Source organism: Homo sapiens, chromosome 1 (genome assembly GCF_000001405.40).
Source record: "Homo sapiens chromosome 1, GRCh38.p14 Primary Assembly".
In the NCBI taxonomy this organism is placed as follows: domain Eukaryota; kingdom Metazoa; phylum Chordata; class Mammalia; order Primates; family Hominidae; genus Homo; species Homo sapiens.
Window position 1 is genome coordinate 46,632,195 of NC_000001.11, and position 14,588 is coordinate 46,646,782.

The 14,588-nt window shown below is 40.5% G+C and overlaps 1 protein-coding gene across 5 annotated transcripts in view; it reads right to left on the bottom strand.

Annotated features, from left to right (window-relative positions):
- Positions 1 to 542: 542 nt before the first annotated feature.
- The window catches only part of ATPAF1 (ATP synthase mitochondrial F1 complex assembly factor 1), a 35,821-nt gene continuing 21,775 nt past the window's right edge, over positions 543 to 14,588 (bottom strand). For 2 of the 5 annotated variants that reach the window (NM_022745.6, NM_001394565.1), the window contains exons 7-9: positions 12,967 to 13,062; positions 11,000 to 11,107; positions 543 to 3,776 (exon numbers count right to left, since the gene is read on the bottom strand). In NM_022745.6, the coding sequence (NP_073582.3) occupies positions 3,582 to 3,776; positions 11,000 to 11,107; positions 12,967 to 13,062 (399 nt within the window). In that variant the 3' untranslated portion in view covers positions 543 to 3,581. The remainder of the gene's footprint in view (positions 3,777 to 10,999; positions 11,108 to 12,966; positions 13,063 to 14,588) is intronic. The other 3 variants (NM_001243728.1, NM_001256418.1, NM_001042546.2) reach the window with 2 other exon arrangements.

Genomic DNA, 14,588 nt, shown 5'->3' on the forward strand with positions numbered 1-14,588 from the left:
AAAGGTGCTCAATAAGTGTGAATGAATGCTGACTCAATGCCAAATCAAATGACTAGGAAGTGGGCATTAGTACCTCTTCTCCAAGACTGAACAAAAGGTCAGTATGGAGAGTGCAAAGCAAAACATGTGGCTCCAGCTTCCAAACTGGTTGGAGAAGAAAGAAGTACCAGTATGAACATCCAAGAACTAGACAAAGCAAACTATAATCAGGTGTAGGTGTGAGGCACTGAATCAGAGGCAAGAGAGAAACAGGCAGTGGCTAAAACAGAGCCTGCGAGCAGGAATCATACTCTACTCATCTTTCTGTGTCCAGCACTTAACATAGTGGCTGCAGAATAGATGCTCTGTGAGCAGCTGTTAAGTTGTACTGTGTAATGGTCCACCAAGGTAATGCCAGTGGATTAGGTGAGGTACAGAGAACTGTGTATAACTTGGTATCTTGGTTTGCAAATATTTCTACTCAACAAATTCTCGATCTATGTGTATTAAGAGATTCTTTTAAATCTAGAGTATTTACATGCAGGTACATACACAAGACAATGTTTTGGTTGAAATCCATATTACCTATTTATTCAACAAAAAACTGAGTATCTTCTATGGTCCAGGCCATGTCCTTGGCACTGCGAACAGAGATAAGTCCTGGCCCTCAAGGAGCTCACAGTCTAGTGGGGGAAAAAAGACACAAGAATAAATAAATATAATGTATTTGGAGTTTGCAAAGGGGGCCACTATGGGAGACAAAGAACAGAGGAACCTAAATATCCTATAGTTAGCATCCACAGGAAAGAAAGACCTGGCAATGTACATTTTTGTAAAGAATAGATAAGGCAGTGGTTCTCAAAGTGTGGCTGGCTAATTACCTACATCAGAATCATTTGGAGCACATATTAACAAGTAGATTCCCAGTACCTTCTGCACATATTCTTGATTTAGTACGTGTGTGGGGGGGTGGTGTACGGTTGAGGCCTGAGAATCTGCATTTTAAAAGCACTTTAGGTGATGCTACTGCATCTTAAAGTTTCAGAACTGATGAGATAAAGTTTGTTCTTTTAACTGGAATAAAGAATGATCTACACATCTGAAATGCTAACTTGTATTAGTCTTTAATGAGGGGCAAGGGAAGTAGAGAAAAGGATGGTAGTTGATATTTTCTACTATAGTGAAGTTAATTTAATTCTCACAATAATCCTATGAGGTAGATATTATTATCCCTATTTTAGATGGAAAAAAAACCCCAAAATTAGATAGTTTAAGCAATTTGTTCAACAGTATAGAGCTAATGAATAGCAACACTAACATATGAACCCAGATTCACTTAACTCTAAAGCCTGTCCACTTTCTATAACACCATGCTAGCACCAGGGGACAAATTTACTGATTAAATGGTACAATTTTCTTTGAGTTCTTTGCCAGATCTTTCTAGGTAAATAAATATAAAGAACAGCTACGTGGTACTTTAGTCATGCCCCACACATTTATCCATGGACACATCCTACTTGGCAGTTGGGGACTGAGGACAAATCCAGGAGGAATGATTAAAACGAATGGCCACTTCTTACTCCTTTTTCCATCATTTCCTCACCCGCTGGTGGAGGTGTATCAATGTACTATGTATGGCTAATAACTGGGCCCATCTGGAAAGACAAGCAAACATAACTGGATACCAATAAAAACAACCCCATCTGATGTCAAAAATTCTTGGGACCCAAAACATTCAGAAGGTCAGAAGGCATTTAATGAAAATGGCAGGGCAGATAAGACTCAAGTTTCTCAAAAGATAAACTGCCAGGACCAGAAGCAGGTCCAGAATTTACATTAGTTAACAGCTCAACCTTTAGAGAAATAGTGAAAGGATAGCAGCTTCCCCAGTTTAAAAAAATACTATCTGTCTCTCTCAATACATAGACTCAAAGGTGCAACAAAATAGACACGGCTCAGAGAATAGTGGGATGTCCACCCTATTTAAAGAGCTTAGGGACAGGCCCAACCTATAAAAATTCTTCTGGAAGGAAGAAAACACACACACACAAACTGCGAATACTGCTTAAATTCCCACTCACCACATTCAGTGTCATATAACCAGATCTTAGGCAGGAGCAGCAGAGTGGAGCATGTTAGATCAATAAAGAAATGTCAGGCCAGGCACGGTGGCTCACACCTGTAATCCCAGCACTTTGGGAGGCCAAGGTGGTGGATCACTTGAGGCCAGGAGTTCGAGACCAGCCAGCCTGGCCAACAAAGTGAAACCCTGTCTCTACAACAATACAAAAATAAGCCAGGTATGGTGGCATGCGCCTGTAATCCTAGCTCCTCAGGAGGCTGACGCAGCAGAATCACTTGAACCAGGGAGGTAGAGGTTGCAGCGAGCTGAGATCACGCTACTGTACTCCAGCCTGGGCAAGACAGAGCAAGACTTCATCTCAGGAAAAAAAGAAAGAGAAAGAAATGCCATGGTAAAGGCAGCTGACAACAATACTGGGGGCCTTGGGTTCAGAAGGCTGGTGTGTAACCACCGTCCTTTCCTATCACTGAGCTTGGAGCCACAACAGTGACACTACAAACGAAAGATGGGTTTCCAGCTCTGGAGAACAACTTTCTTATTTCTGGCATTCCAAACAATTTTTCAGTCCCAAGATGAGTTTTGATAAAATCAGCCCATAGCCCTGACACAATGGACAGTACATAACTCAGATTTCATTATTTTGTATAACAAACATTGTAAGCCAGACTTAAAAAAAAAATTATTGCTATATTTTCCCCACATCCAATCTGGGAACATTTGCTTTCATCCACTTTTTCGTATCATGTTTAGAGTTGTTTTTAAAAAAATCATGCAAACCAGGATTAATCTTCTCCTTACAAAAGAATTTTATTTATACTGCACTGATTCATTCCTTCAAACACATAGCTTCTAACAGGTGGAGTTAGAAAAGCGGGTGCCACAAACTATGGTTTAATAGTATGCAGGCCCTGTACCTGTTTATCTAACTATACCTGAAATTTGCTGATACCCCAAGCCAGCTACTTACACTAAAGGCATCTCTGGGGGGCATCATCTAGATGAAGTCTTTAACCTGATGGGAATATCTGGTTATTCTACAGTTTAAACAGGATGTTTGGCTTATGCTTTTGTTCAGCTGACTGGTGCCTGGGAAGGATTAAAGCCCATATCTAACTACAGCAGGTCTTCAAGCTTATTATCCTGTCATGAGTTCATAAAGATGACAAACTCATCATTTGGGAGCTATAAGGTCAAAGTGGCCAGAATGCAACTGCGCTGTTACACTGTGCAAAATCAAGTCAACTGTCTTGTAGGTCCTTGGCTGTCTCTTGTTATAACCTCGAACACTTAAAAAAGGAAACCTCAAGTATGCTGAGATAATTATCAGAATGTTCAGGTACCTTTGTTCCTGAATATCAAGTAATAGGGCTCATCTCTGTGACTGCTTGCGACAAGCACATAGGGCAACTCATTACCAACTGCTCATTATAAATGCTGAGCTCTTGAGTTCCTGAGGAGGGGGTGGGCTCTAGACTATCGAGGGCTGAGTCAACTAGGTGAAGGGCCAACCTGTACAGTTCTAAGTCTTATTTTGGTTCTGGGCACATTTCAGTTCTGCTCCAAGTCCGCTTTGCTCCAATTCAGCGATGACAGACATATATTTGAACTCATTTGGTCTGAGGTTAAAGGTCTCCACTAACCCGTAGGTCTCTTTCCGATCAGTAGCGTAGAAGAGCTGAACTTGGTTGGCGATGCACTGTGCCTCAGCAACATTCTGTAAGGTAAAAAGAATAATGAGGTCCTTTCTTGCACAGGGCCACAAAGCTCTTGTCTGAATTGTGTGGTGGGTGGGGGCCCTCGCCCAGGAGTCACCACTTCCAGAAAGTTTCCTTAACTTCTTGAAGTCCCTAGTCTTGGTTAGGTGCCCCTTCTCTGTGTACCAAATCATCCTGTGCTTACCACTGTCATAGTATTTATCACACTGTATTGTATTTTTCCTTTTCTTTTTTTGTCTATTTTCCCTAGTACAAATTCCTCAAAGACATAGACCGTGGTTTGTTTTATATCTCTGCAGAGTGACATCTGGTGAATGTTTACTGAATAAATTAATGTACATGTTCACATTATTCCTCTTCATCCAGTTCCCTAATAACTGTTAAATATATTTCAAGGGGGGAATAAGACAGCAACAGTTACCCAGCTCTAAGAACCAGTTTGTGAGTGAGAACTAAGTTCTTGACTAACCAGATATACACTTGAATAAAACCTGTTATGATACTACCTTGGTCAGAAAAGTACTCCCAGAGCCAGCTGTGATGGTTTTAAAATTTGCCCACAAATTTTAAGATATTCCTCCCTTTGATGGAGCCTAATTTCCCTTTCCTTGGGTAATGGCTATACTCAGTGACTTCCTTCTAACAAGTAGACTATGACAAAATGGTTGGGGGCATTGGTGTGAGCCTGTAGTCCCAGCTACTCAGGAGGCTGAGGTAGGAGGATTGCTTGAGCCTGTCTGGGTAATGTAGTGAGCCCCTTAAAAAAAAAAAAAGACTATGAAAAAATGAAAAATGATGGAGAATGAGTTCTGCTATCAAGCCATAAAGGTTGTAACTTTTCTCTTGCTAATTTTCTTGCTCTGGGAAAAGTCAGTTGCCATGTAGTGAGGACATTCATGCAGCCCTATGGAGAAACACGACAAAGACATGAGGCCTCTGCCAAGAGCCATGTGAGTGGGGCTGGATGCAGACGCTCAAGCCCAATCAACCTTCGGATGACTATACCCCTAGATAACATCTTGACAGCAACCTTGTGAGACCCTGAGCCAGAACCACTCAGCTAAGCTGCTACTACAGAAACTGCGAGGTAATAAATGTTTGTTGTTTTAAGCCACTAGATTTTGTATAATTTGTTATGCAGCCATTTATAACTAATACATCAGCAAAGGCCCAGGGAAGAGAAGGGCAGTAGCAGAGAAATGGTGAGCAATAGCAGAGAAATGGTGAGCAGGCCACCCTACATGACAGAGGCAGAGAAATTAGCCAGATGTGGTGGCATGAGCCTGTAGTCCTAGCTACTCGGGAGGCTGAGACAGGAGGATTGCTTGAGACCAGGAGTTTGAGGCTGCACTGAGCTATGGTCATGCCAGCACACTCCAGCCTGGGTAACAGAGGAAGACTCTATCTCTAAAAATAAAAATTAAAAAATGACAGAGATGGGGGTTAGAACACGGGCTACACTCTCAAACTTTGCAAAAGAGTCACCTCAGACAACTCTTACTTTTGCTATACATTCTGCAGTTCTAGTCGGTCAGAGGTACTTGTCCATTATCACCATGTTCATATAGCCAAAATTAAACCCCAAAAGGTCATGGAAAATTCCCACTAAAAACTTACTGCCAAAAGTGTGCTATGTCTAGCTAGAGAATGATGAAGACGGGTTTATAAATAACATGGGCTGTGCTCCATCTCTATTCCCTCTGTGGGACTTTCAGGACATTTCTCATGAGCAGGCACTAATCTCTGAGACTGCATCTTCAATCAAAAACCTTTTCCCAAAAAGCTGGCTACTTCAAATTAATAGAATTTTAGAGCTAGAAGGGACCTCAGAGATCACCCAGTTCTCATTTAATAGGCTAGGAAACCAAGGCAGATGAGGTTCAGGGATGGGCTCAAGGTCAAGTGGCCAGCCAAGGTCACAGCCAGGACTAGACCTCTAGACTCCCTGGCTGGTATTCCCCCCAATTCATCCTTCTGTTTCTGGTAGGGCAAGATAATTAAGATTGATGAAGGCCAATAACTACTTCATCCATTTTACCTTTCTTAAATTCACACATGCCTCAAGAGCAAATCATTTCTGAAGCAAGTGCACTGCTATAATCTGAGGATACCACCACTCTCTCAGCCCCTGGCTACAGGGCCTCTGACATCAACTTTTATCTGAAGCTTGGGGTGGGAAGGTAGGAGTAAGTTCAGCTGTGTTCACACTACAACACTGCTGTTCAAACTATTCTGTAGAGTCCTAGGTGCTCTGTGGAGGTGCCTCAGGTCCCTTCACCTGTTTTAGCTGTCATATCCTGGGGTTTTACATAGTAAGATTTTGTTTGGATAAAGGGGTCCTCCTACTACTTTAAAAAGAAGTTTGGGCCAGGCGTGGTGGCTCACGCCTATAATCCCAGCACTTTGGGAGGCCGAGGTGGGCGGATCATGAGGTCAGGAGATCGAGACCATCCTGGCTAACACGGTGAAACCCCGTCTCTACTACAAATACAAAAACAAAATTAGCTGGGCGTGGTGGTGGGCGCTTGTAGTCCCAGCTACTCGGGAGGCTGAGGCAGGAGAATGGCGTGAACCCGGGAGGCAGAGCTTGCAGTGAGCCGAGATCCAGCCACTGCACTCCAGCCTTGGTGAAAAGAGCAAGACTGTCTCCAAAAAAAAAAAAAAAAGTTTTTGAAGACCACTAGTACAGTGAGTAGGATAGGAAGGTAAGACACAGAGAGAGATGTCTACCTCTCATGGAGGGTTATAGAAAGGCAACCCCCACCAGCCCTTATTCTCCCCCTGCCTTTTATTCTCTTGGCTTTCAACATGAAGCAACAGTCTCCTCCTTTTCCAAGACCCAATAAGATAAACATACTAATTCCCTGTGCTGCTCAATAAAGAGGTATTTTAACAAGTTTGATTCCTCCCTCTCTTTCAATTTTCAAATCTACAATCAACGCACCAAGTCCTGACTATTTTATTCCCTACATATTCCTGGGGTCATTCTCTTTCCTCCATCTCTATACCACTGCTGTAGTTCAAGTTTTCACCACTTCTTGTGCAGACTATTGCAACTGACTTCTAAATTATCATACTGACTAGACTTGAACTACACAATGTTTAGGAAGCAAATAATTAAAGTTAATAATTAATAGGCTAGGTCTTAAAATCCATCTCTTTATGGGTTCTTCTCTGTTCAAACCCTTTAATGACTCTTTTCATGCCCTCAGGGTAAAGCCAAATCTCTAAACAAAAACCACCAAACCTTACATATACACACATACACACACACACACACAAGTGATACCAAACTCTTTACAATACTCCAAGTCATTTTATGTCTCTCAGCATTTACTTATGCTATTCCCTCTGTCGGAAACATTTCTCCCCTTCTTTATTAGGCTAACTCCTGCTGTTTGAAGGTTCAGTCTGGGTGTCATCTCCAGGAAATATTACTCCCTTTGGGCCAGGGATATCACCCCACTCTCTATCCCTAGAACCTTCTGCATGTCTATCCTAGCACTTACTGCATTTCAATGAAATCATCTATTGACATAGATGTGGAGCCAAATAAAGCTAGGTTTTTAAATATTCCATTAGTTTTTAGCATTAAAGTTAGTTCAGAAGAAATCTCTAGTTTCCATGTATTTCTATTCATTTGACATTAATGCTTTACCATAGTTGGAAATACTATGCCTAAAGTGCACAATTCATGCATGAGTATACAGGGGATCATATATTCATCTTATACTTCTAAGTTTCTCTTCTCTAAGTCATGTACAACAAGTTCTAACATGTCTAGTTCTACACTACATCGGAACCTCACAGTCAAGTTGATTTATACAAGGCAAATATGTATTGTCTTGTATGCTGTCAAATGTTAAAAGGCCAGGAAGCAAATTTTAACAATGATGAGAACTGCACAGCAGTTTGAGACCACCAGAGTGAGGTGGTAAAAATGGCAAACAGCAGAATGGGCCTCCTCTGACCTTTAGGATCCACTTTTAATATGATTAGATGCTGTGCTTTGCCGAAGACCAGAAAATATAGTACAATCTCTATATTGTCACTCACTTGCATGATCAAATTATTTCCTATCTTTTCAGCTCACTTCCAACTCCCACAACCCATTAGGACTCATAATTCTTACTGTCTCTAACCTCCCTTATATTTTCACTTTCCTCATTACCCAGCTTCCATTCCATGGTCAATAATCATTCCTTTGCATTCACCTTTAACTTCCTTCAGGCCATAGATAATATGTAAATAAATGAATATGGCTGTGTTCTAATAAAACTTGAAATACTATTTTTCTTTAATAATAGTTTTTGTTATTAAATAATTTCTGTATTTCTTTAAGAATAAAGAGTTTTTGGCCCAGCGTGGTGGCTCATGCCTGTAATCCCAGCACTCTGGAAGGCCGAGGTGGGTCGATTACCTGAGGTCAGGAGTTCGAGACCAGCCTGGCCAACATGGTGAAACCTCGTCTCTACTAAAAATACAAAAATTAGCCAGGTGTGGTGGCACATGCCTGTAATCTCAGCTACTCAGGAGGCTGAGGCAGGAGAACTGCTTGAGGCTGAGGCAGGAGAACTGCTTGAGCCTGGGAGGTGGATGTTGCAGTGAGCTGAGATTGTGCCACTGCACTCCAGCCTGGCCAACACAGCGAGACTCTGTCTCAAAAACAAACAAACAAACAAACAAACAAAAAAAGAGTTTTTCCCCCTAATCATTTAAAGAGGTAGAAAACATTCTTAACTCGTGGGCGTTATAACAAGCAGTGGGCTGGACTTGGCCCATAGGCTGTAGTTTGCTGACGCTTGTCCTAGACAACAATTTTGTACTTCCTCTTTTTGACTCAAATGTCCAACATTTTTCCAACCTTGCTTTCAGCTGATGAGAACTTTTCTTTCTTTTCACTGAGCAATCTGTAGGAAACTTATACCACTACCTCTATCCATCTAATTTTATCAGTGTCCTTATACTCTGGCTTCTCTCCTGCTGTCATATTCCTGGTAAAGATCAACCCCTCATTACCAGACTTGCCCACTCAAAAATATCACTTCCCGCTTTCTCCTGTATCATCAACATTTCCCTCTCCACTGGATCTTTATTTATTTTATTTTATTATTATTATTTTTTTAGACAGAGTCTGGGTCTGTCGCTCAGGCTGGAGTGCAATGGTGCAATCTCAGCTCACTGCAACCTTTGCTGCTGGGGCTTAAGTGATCCTCCTACCTCAGCCTTCCGAGCAGCTGAGATTACAAGGTGCATGCCACCACGCCTGGCTAATTTTTGTATTTTTTGTAGACACAGGGTTTCATCACATTGGCCAGGCTGGTCTCAAACTCCTGAGCTCAAGCAATCCACCCACCTTGTCCTCCCAAAATGCTGGGATTACAAGCATGAGCCACTGTCCCAGCCTCAACTGGACCTTTCCCATCAGCATACAAATATGTTTTCTTTCTCATATTTGAAACAAAAGATACCCTTGGGCGCACTTCTCCACCTCCAGCTAATACCCCATTCTCTCCTTCCCTTTATAGAAATGCCCCTTGAAAGAGTTTCTATGCTGATTCTTCGGAGTTTCTCTTCCCATCCTCTCTTAAGTCTACTCCAATCACACTTTTATGAAACTGCTCTTATAAGGCCCCCAGTGACTTCCATGTTTGTGAAATCAGTAAATTCTCAGTTCTAATCTCATTTGCCCTAATAAACAAGGGAGATTTGGTGAGTTGAGCAGTCCCTATTCCTTGAAACATTCAATTTTAGCTTCCAGGGCATTCTACCATCTTAATTTTCCTTTTACCTCATGGCCATTCCTTCTTAATCTTTGCTGATGCTTCTTCATCTCTCCAGGGATGGAGACCCCTCGCTCAGTTCTTAGATCTCGTCTCTTCTCTATTTTTACTTACTTCCTTGGTGACTTCATTCAGTCCTATGGTTTTAAGTACAATCTGTATGCTGACAACTCCCATATTTATATCTCCAGCCTGGACTTCTCCCATGAAGTCCAGGCTCATATATCTAATTGCCTACTACTTGGATATCTAATAGGCATCTCAGATTTAATACATCGAAAAGTGAGCTCCTGATTTTCCTGTTAGGCCTATTCCTCCTGCAATCTTGCCTATCTCAGTTAATGGCAATTCCATATTCTTGGATAGAATTTTGGCTTTCAGTTGAATGTGATGAATGGAAGGGTTAATGTGGAAGGAAGAATGGGAGAGATGGTACTGAATAGCTTCAAGAATAGGGAAGTAGAATCCTCACTGTGTCCTAGGTTTGTGGGTTACTGCTACTGTGAGATATCAGCTGAGTGATATCACTTCTTTCTCCCTATGCAGCTGGTAAGAGAAAGAGAAAAAATAAGTGGGTGCTGTAATGAAGACTGTTAGGGGGAAGTGTCCACTGTTTGGGGACATTCTGAACTTAACCTCTGCCAGATAAAAGGATATGTGACTGAAATGAGCAAGGACTAGACAGACAGTGTACAGTAATCACAACACTGCTCCTGGCACCTGGATGTGCAGAGAGAACACAGTGGGCATCATTAACTATGAGCATATGGTCAATGCTCTATCTCAGTGATTCTCATCTAGGAGTGGGAAAAGGAGGAAAGAAAAACACTATAAATGATGAATGTTGTATAAATGAACAGTATGAAGGAAGATAAAATATTGAGAGCTATCCTAGGCTTCAATACAACTCTTCCCTATAATTAAGAAGCCATTTACTTGTCTACAATCTCTTATCTGAAACCCTTAGGGCCTGATGTGTCTTAGATTCAGAATTATTGAATTTTAGAAAGATAATAGGTATAGATACTATATAACTATATTATGTGACTCCCCATACTCAAACACATTAATATTTCCCTAGTAAAATGCATAATACTCCACACCAAGTGGGATTAGTTATATAAATAGTTTCACATCAGTTTAAAGATTTAGTTACCAAATGAGTTCAAGTTTACATAAGGTTTTGTGACCAAATGAGAACAAAAACATTTTGTTCTCAGAGCCCATGGGTTTCAGAATTGTGAATAAATGATTGAGGATCTGTACTAACTTCAAATTGGAAGATCTTGAGCAAGACAACTTCACTGTCAACTTTAAAATAAGTAAGAAACAAGGTATATGTAGCTCTTTGAAATTTTCTCTCTCATGAGCTTTGGCAGAAGAGTAATACCTTCAGTGCCATGAGGTAAATCCAAAGAGTTTTGCAAGTTAATTCTTACCAGAAATGTGGAATCCATTTCTGCAGTCATCAGCACTATGCCCTTTTCTTCCTTAAGTTCAGGATAGTGATATAAAATCAGCTGGCTGGCTGCAGCTTCCCCTCGGGTCTGCAAGGTGGAACACTTATCAAGGCTCAATAAGGTACCATCACAACAAACTGCAATTTCAAAGCAATAGACAGTCTAGAGGAAATTCTGGCTCTTAACAGCCCCTTGGGTGGCTAGTGAGTTGGAGGACTGGTATGTGGTGGTAAGGTCAGGCCTGCAAAGGCACAGTGAAACTGACAGTTTGCACAGTGTTATTTGTGTCTTCAACTGGAAAAGGTTTGGCTTTTTTCCCAGAAAATGTTTACAGTAGGCAGTGAATCCATCATTGTGACCATACATTTAAAAACAAAATGGCACAAGCAGCTACCAAATCAAGTTCTAAAGAAAGCAATGTGCCTGTGTAATTGCCACTTTCATGGACTAGTGCATTTCACAGTTGAAATCTACTCCCCTTGGCTGGCTCTGAAGACTGAGCTCTTTTAAGCTGTAGCAGGAGCTGCAGAGTTTGCACATGAGCCAGATTTGTAATGTGCAGCTCTAAAATATAATCTGGGTTGGTGGGGGGTGAAGGGGAGAAGAAGGATGGAAACACCATGATTTTATGAAGAATGATCAGGGCAGTGGTTACTAAATCTCAAGTCTAGACTAGGTAGAGAGGATGGGTTCAAAGCTAAAGCCCCTACATAGCACAGGTGGAAACAACTACATTCAAAAGAAGATTCCTAGACTTTATCTCTAAAATTTCAGCGAGTCTTTTTAATTATAAATATCCAACTATCACTAGGGTACTTGTAATAGTTCAGCATCTCATTTTTCTTGAACATACTTCTAATGTTACACTGATCATTTTGGTCATCATTCTAATATTATACTAATCACTTTTATTGTAATTATGTTTCTGGATCTTTCTCCTAAAGCTGAATATTAGCTCCATGAAGGCAGGGACCTTGTCTCACAGATCTCCAAGTCTTAGCACAGTTCCTAACACAATCCCATAATGATTAAGTTCACAGACTTTGAAGTCAGATAACCTGGGCTCAATCCTGGCTCTATCACTTATTAGACAATGTAACTAACATCTGAGGCCACTTTCTTCTATGTAATTAGAAATAATAACAGTAAATATGGCGTATTATGAGGATTAAATGACATAATATATATAAAACATGTGGCACATAGTAAGTACATCAAATTGTTGGTTATTAAAGTATGTACTCAATAAAGGGTTGTTAGACATATTACAAAATAGCAAAGTAAAAAGCTGTTCCTTCATTCTATTTTGCATTCTTTACCCCAACTTCAAAGCCAATATAATTCGTGCTTGTTTTTTGCCACATTTGACCTCCAAATATAGAATGCCAATCCTAGTTATGATTTAAAATATTGACTTTTATTTTAAAAGTTTTAAATGTTTTGAATCTAACTTTTAAATATAATATTTAAAAGTTAATATTGTTTTATTGGAAATAAAGAAATAAAGGAAGAAAGCAAACAAAATAACATTAAACAGAAACTATTCACTTAGCATGTTGGAAGGTGTTGACTTAGGTAATAAAACACATTTAAGACTTGGAGCTTTCCTCAAGGGGCTTCTAGCTTGGGTTAAAAAGATAGCCATCATAACTCAGGCATGTTTGTTAAGTGAGGCACATGCAGTATATACAACTAGAGGTCTGGGGAAGAGACAAAAGAGAACCAGAAGTAGTCAGAGAAGGTGTTTTGGAGTCTTTTCCAATTTCTAGGTATTGAGGAGGGCCTAGAAAACTAGTCCAACACAAAAAGTATGACAATTCATCTGCGCCACAATAATAAATGCTGGGAGTAAGCAGCTATTCTGTGTCCTTGAGCCTCAGCAAGGGTTTCTAGTCCTACCAAGGGGTAGTCCTCTTTCCTCTAGAGGAAGGGCACAAGCCACCTACCTGAATATTTATAAGTGCAGTGAAGTGGAGTTCAGTACCTGTCCATTGTCCTACAAAAAACTCATAACCTTCCCTTCTTGGCAGAGCACATAGAAACTGTGAAAAACAGATATACAAGGAGACAGATGAATAAATGAAATTATTTGCTCTATATCCAACCACCTGTAACATTCATTCCATTTCCTCCATATTTGGTTTTTAAAATATTTTTTTATTTTTTTGAGACAGGTTCTCGCTCTGTTGTCCAGGCTGCAGTGCAGGCATGATCACAGCTCACCGCAGTCTTGATCTGCTGGGCTCAGGTGATCTTCCCACTCAGCCTCCCAAGTAGCTGGAACTGCAGGTGTGCACCACTAAGCCTGGCTACTTTTTTTTTTTTTTTGGTAGAGATGGGGTTTTGCCATGTTGCCCAGGCTGGTCTTGAACTCCCGGGCTCAAGCAATCTGCCTCCCTCAGCCTCCCAAAGTGATGGGATTATAGGCATGAGCCACTGCTCCCAGCCTAAAACATTTTTTTAAAATTAAGAAATTCATATGTGGCAATAAATACTCATGTACTTATCAATCCACCTAAGAAAGCATCAGAAATACAATTGAGGTTCCCTCTGCATTCCCTTCTAATCCCATCCCAGAGTTAACATCTATCCAGCATTTGGTGTCTATCCTCCTTTTTCATATTTTAATACTTTAATGTATATGCGTATAACTGTAAGTTAAGAAGTAGTAGTTTACAGGCTGGGCATGGTGGCTCACACCTGTAATTCCAGCACTTTGGAAGGCCAAGGTCGGAGGATCACTTGAGCTCAGGAGTTTGAGGCCAACCTGGACAATACAGTGAGACCCCGTCACTACAAAAAAATAAAAAAAATAGCCAGGTGTGGTGGCATGTGCCTGTTGTCCTAGCTACTCGGGGGCTGAGGCAGGAGGACTGATTGAGCCCAGGAGTTTGAGACCAGCCTGGGCAACATAGTGAGACCCTGTCTTTAGAAAAATTTTTTTTAAAGTAGTAGTTTATATGTTTAAAAACTTAAATCTTATCAAAGTGTGTGTATCCTTTTGTAACTTTTTTACTTCATAGTATGCTTCTGAGATTTATCCATGTTGATATCTATAACTCTGAATTCATAAATATCTCACTGTTGTATGGAATTCTATTGTAGAAGTTTATCACTATTTATCCTTCTCTTGATGGATGTTTCAATTTCTAAACTTTCTAATGCTGCTGAATTAGCTCGTTCCAATTGCTGTAATTACTTCACATTCTATCAGATAAGGCTGATATTGGAGCATGGCTCCAGACTAAACACCAAAAAATAAGTTTTATGCTCAAGATGTTTAGAATGGGGATGAGTAGTAGAGAAAAGAATGGTGCCAGAACAAAACAAAAGTATAAAGCAGCCCAATACACATTAGTCACAAATTATCTTCTTATTGTCAACCACTCAGGCTCCAATTTATTATTATTAGATGAGATAAACTTAGTGCCTACTTGACAGATGATCCCTTGCTAGGGAAAATATTTTTTTTACAGCTTTATTGAGGTATACTTGAAATACAACAAAGTGCACATATTTAAAGTATACAATTTGATGAGTGTGACATATGTGTACTGTGAAACCATAA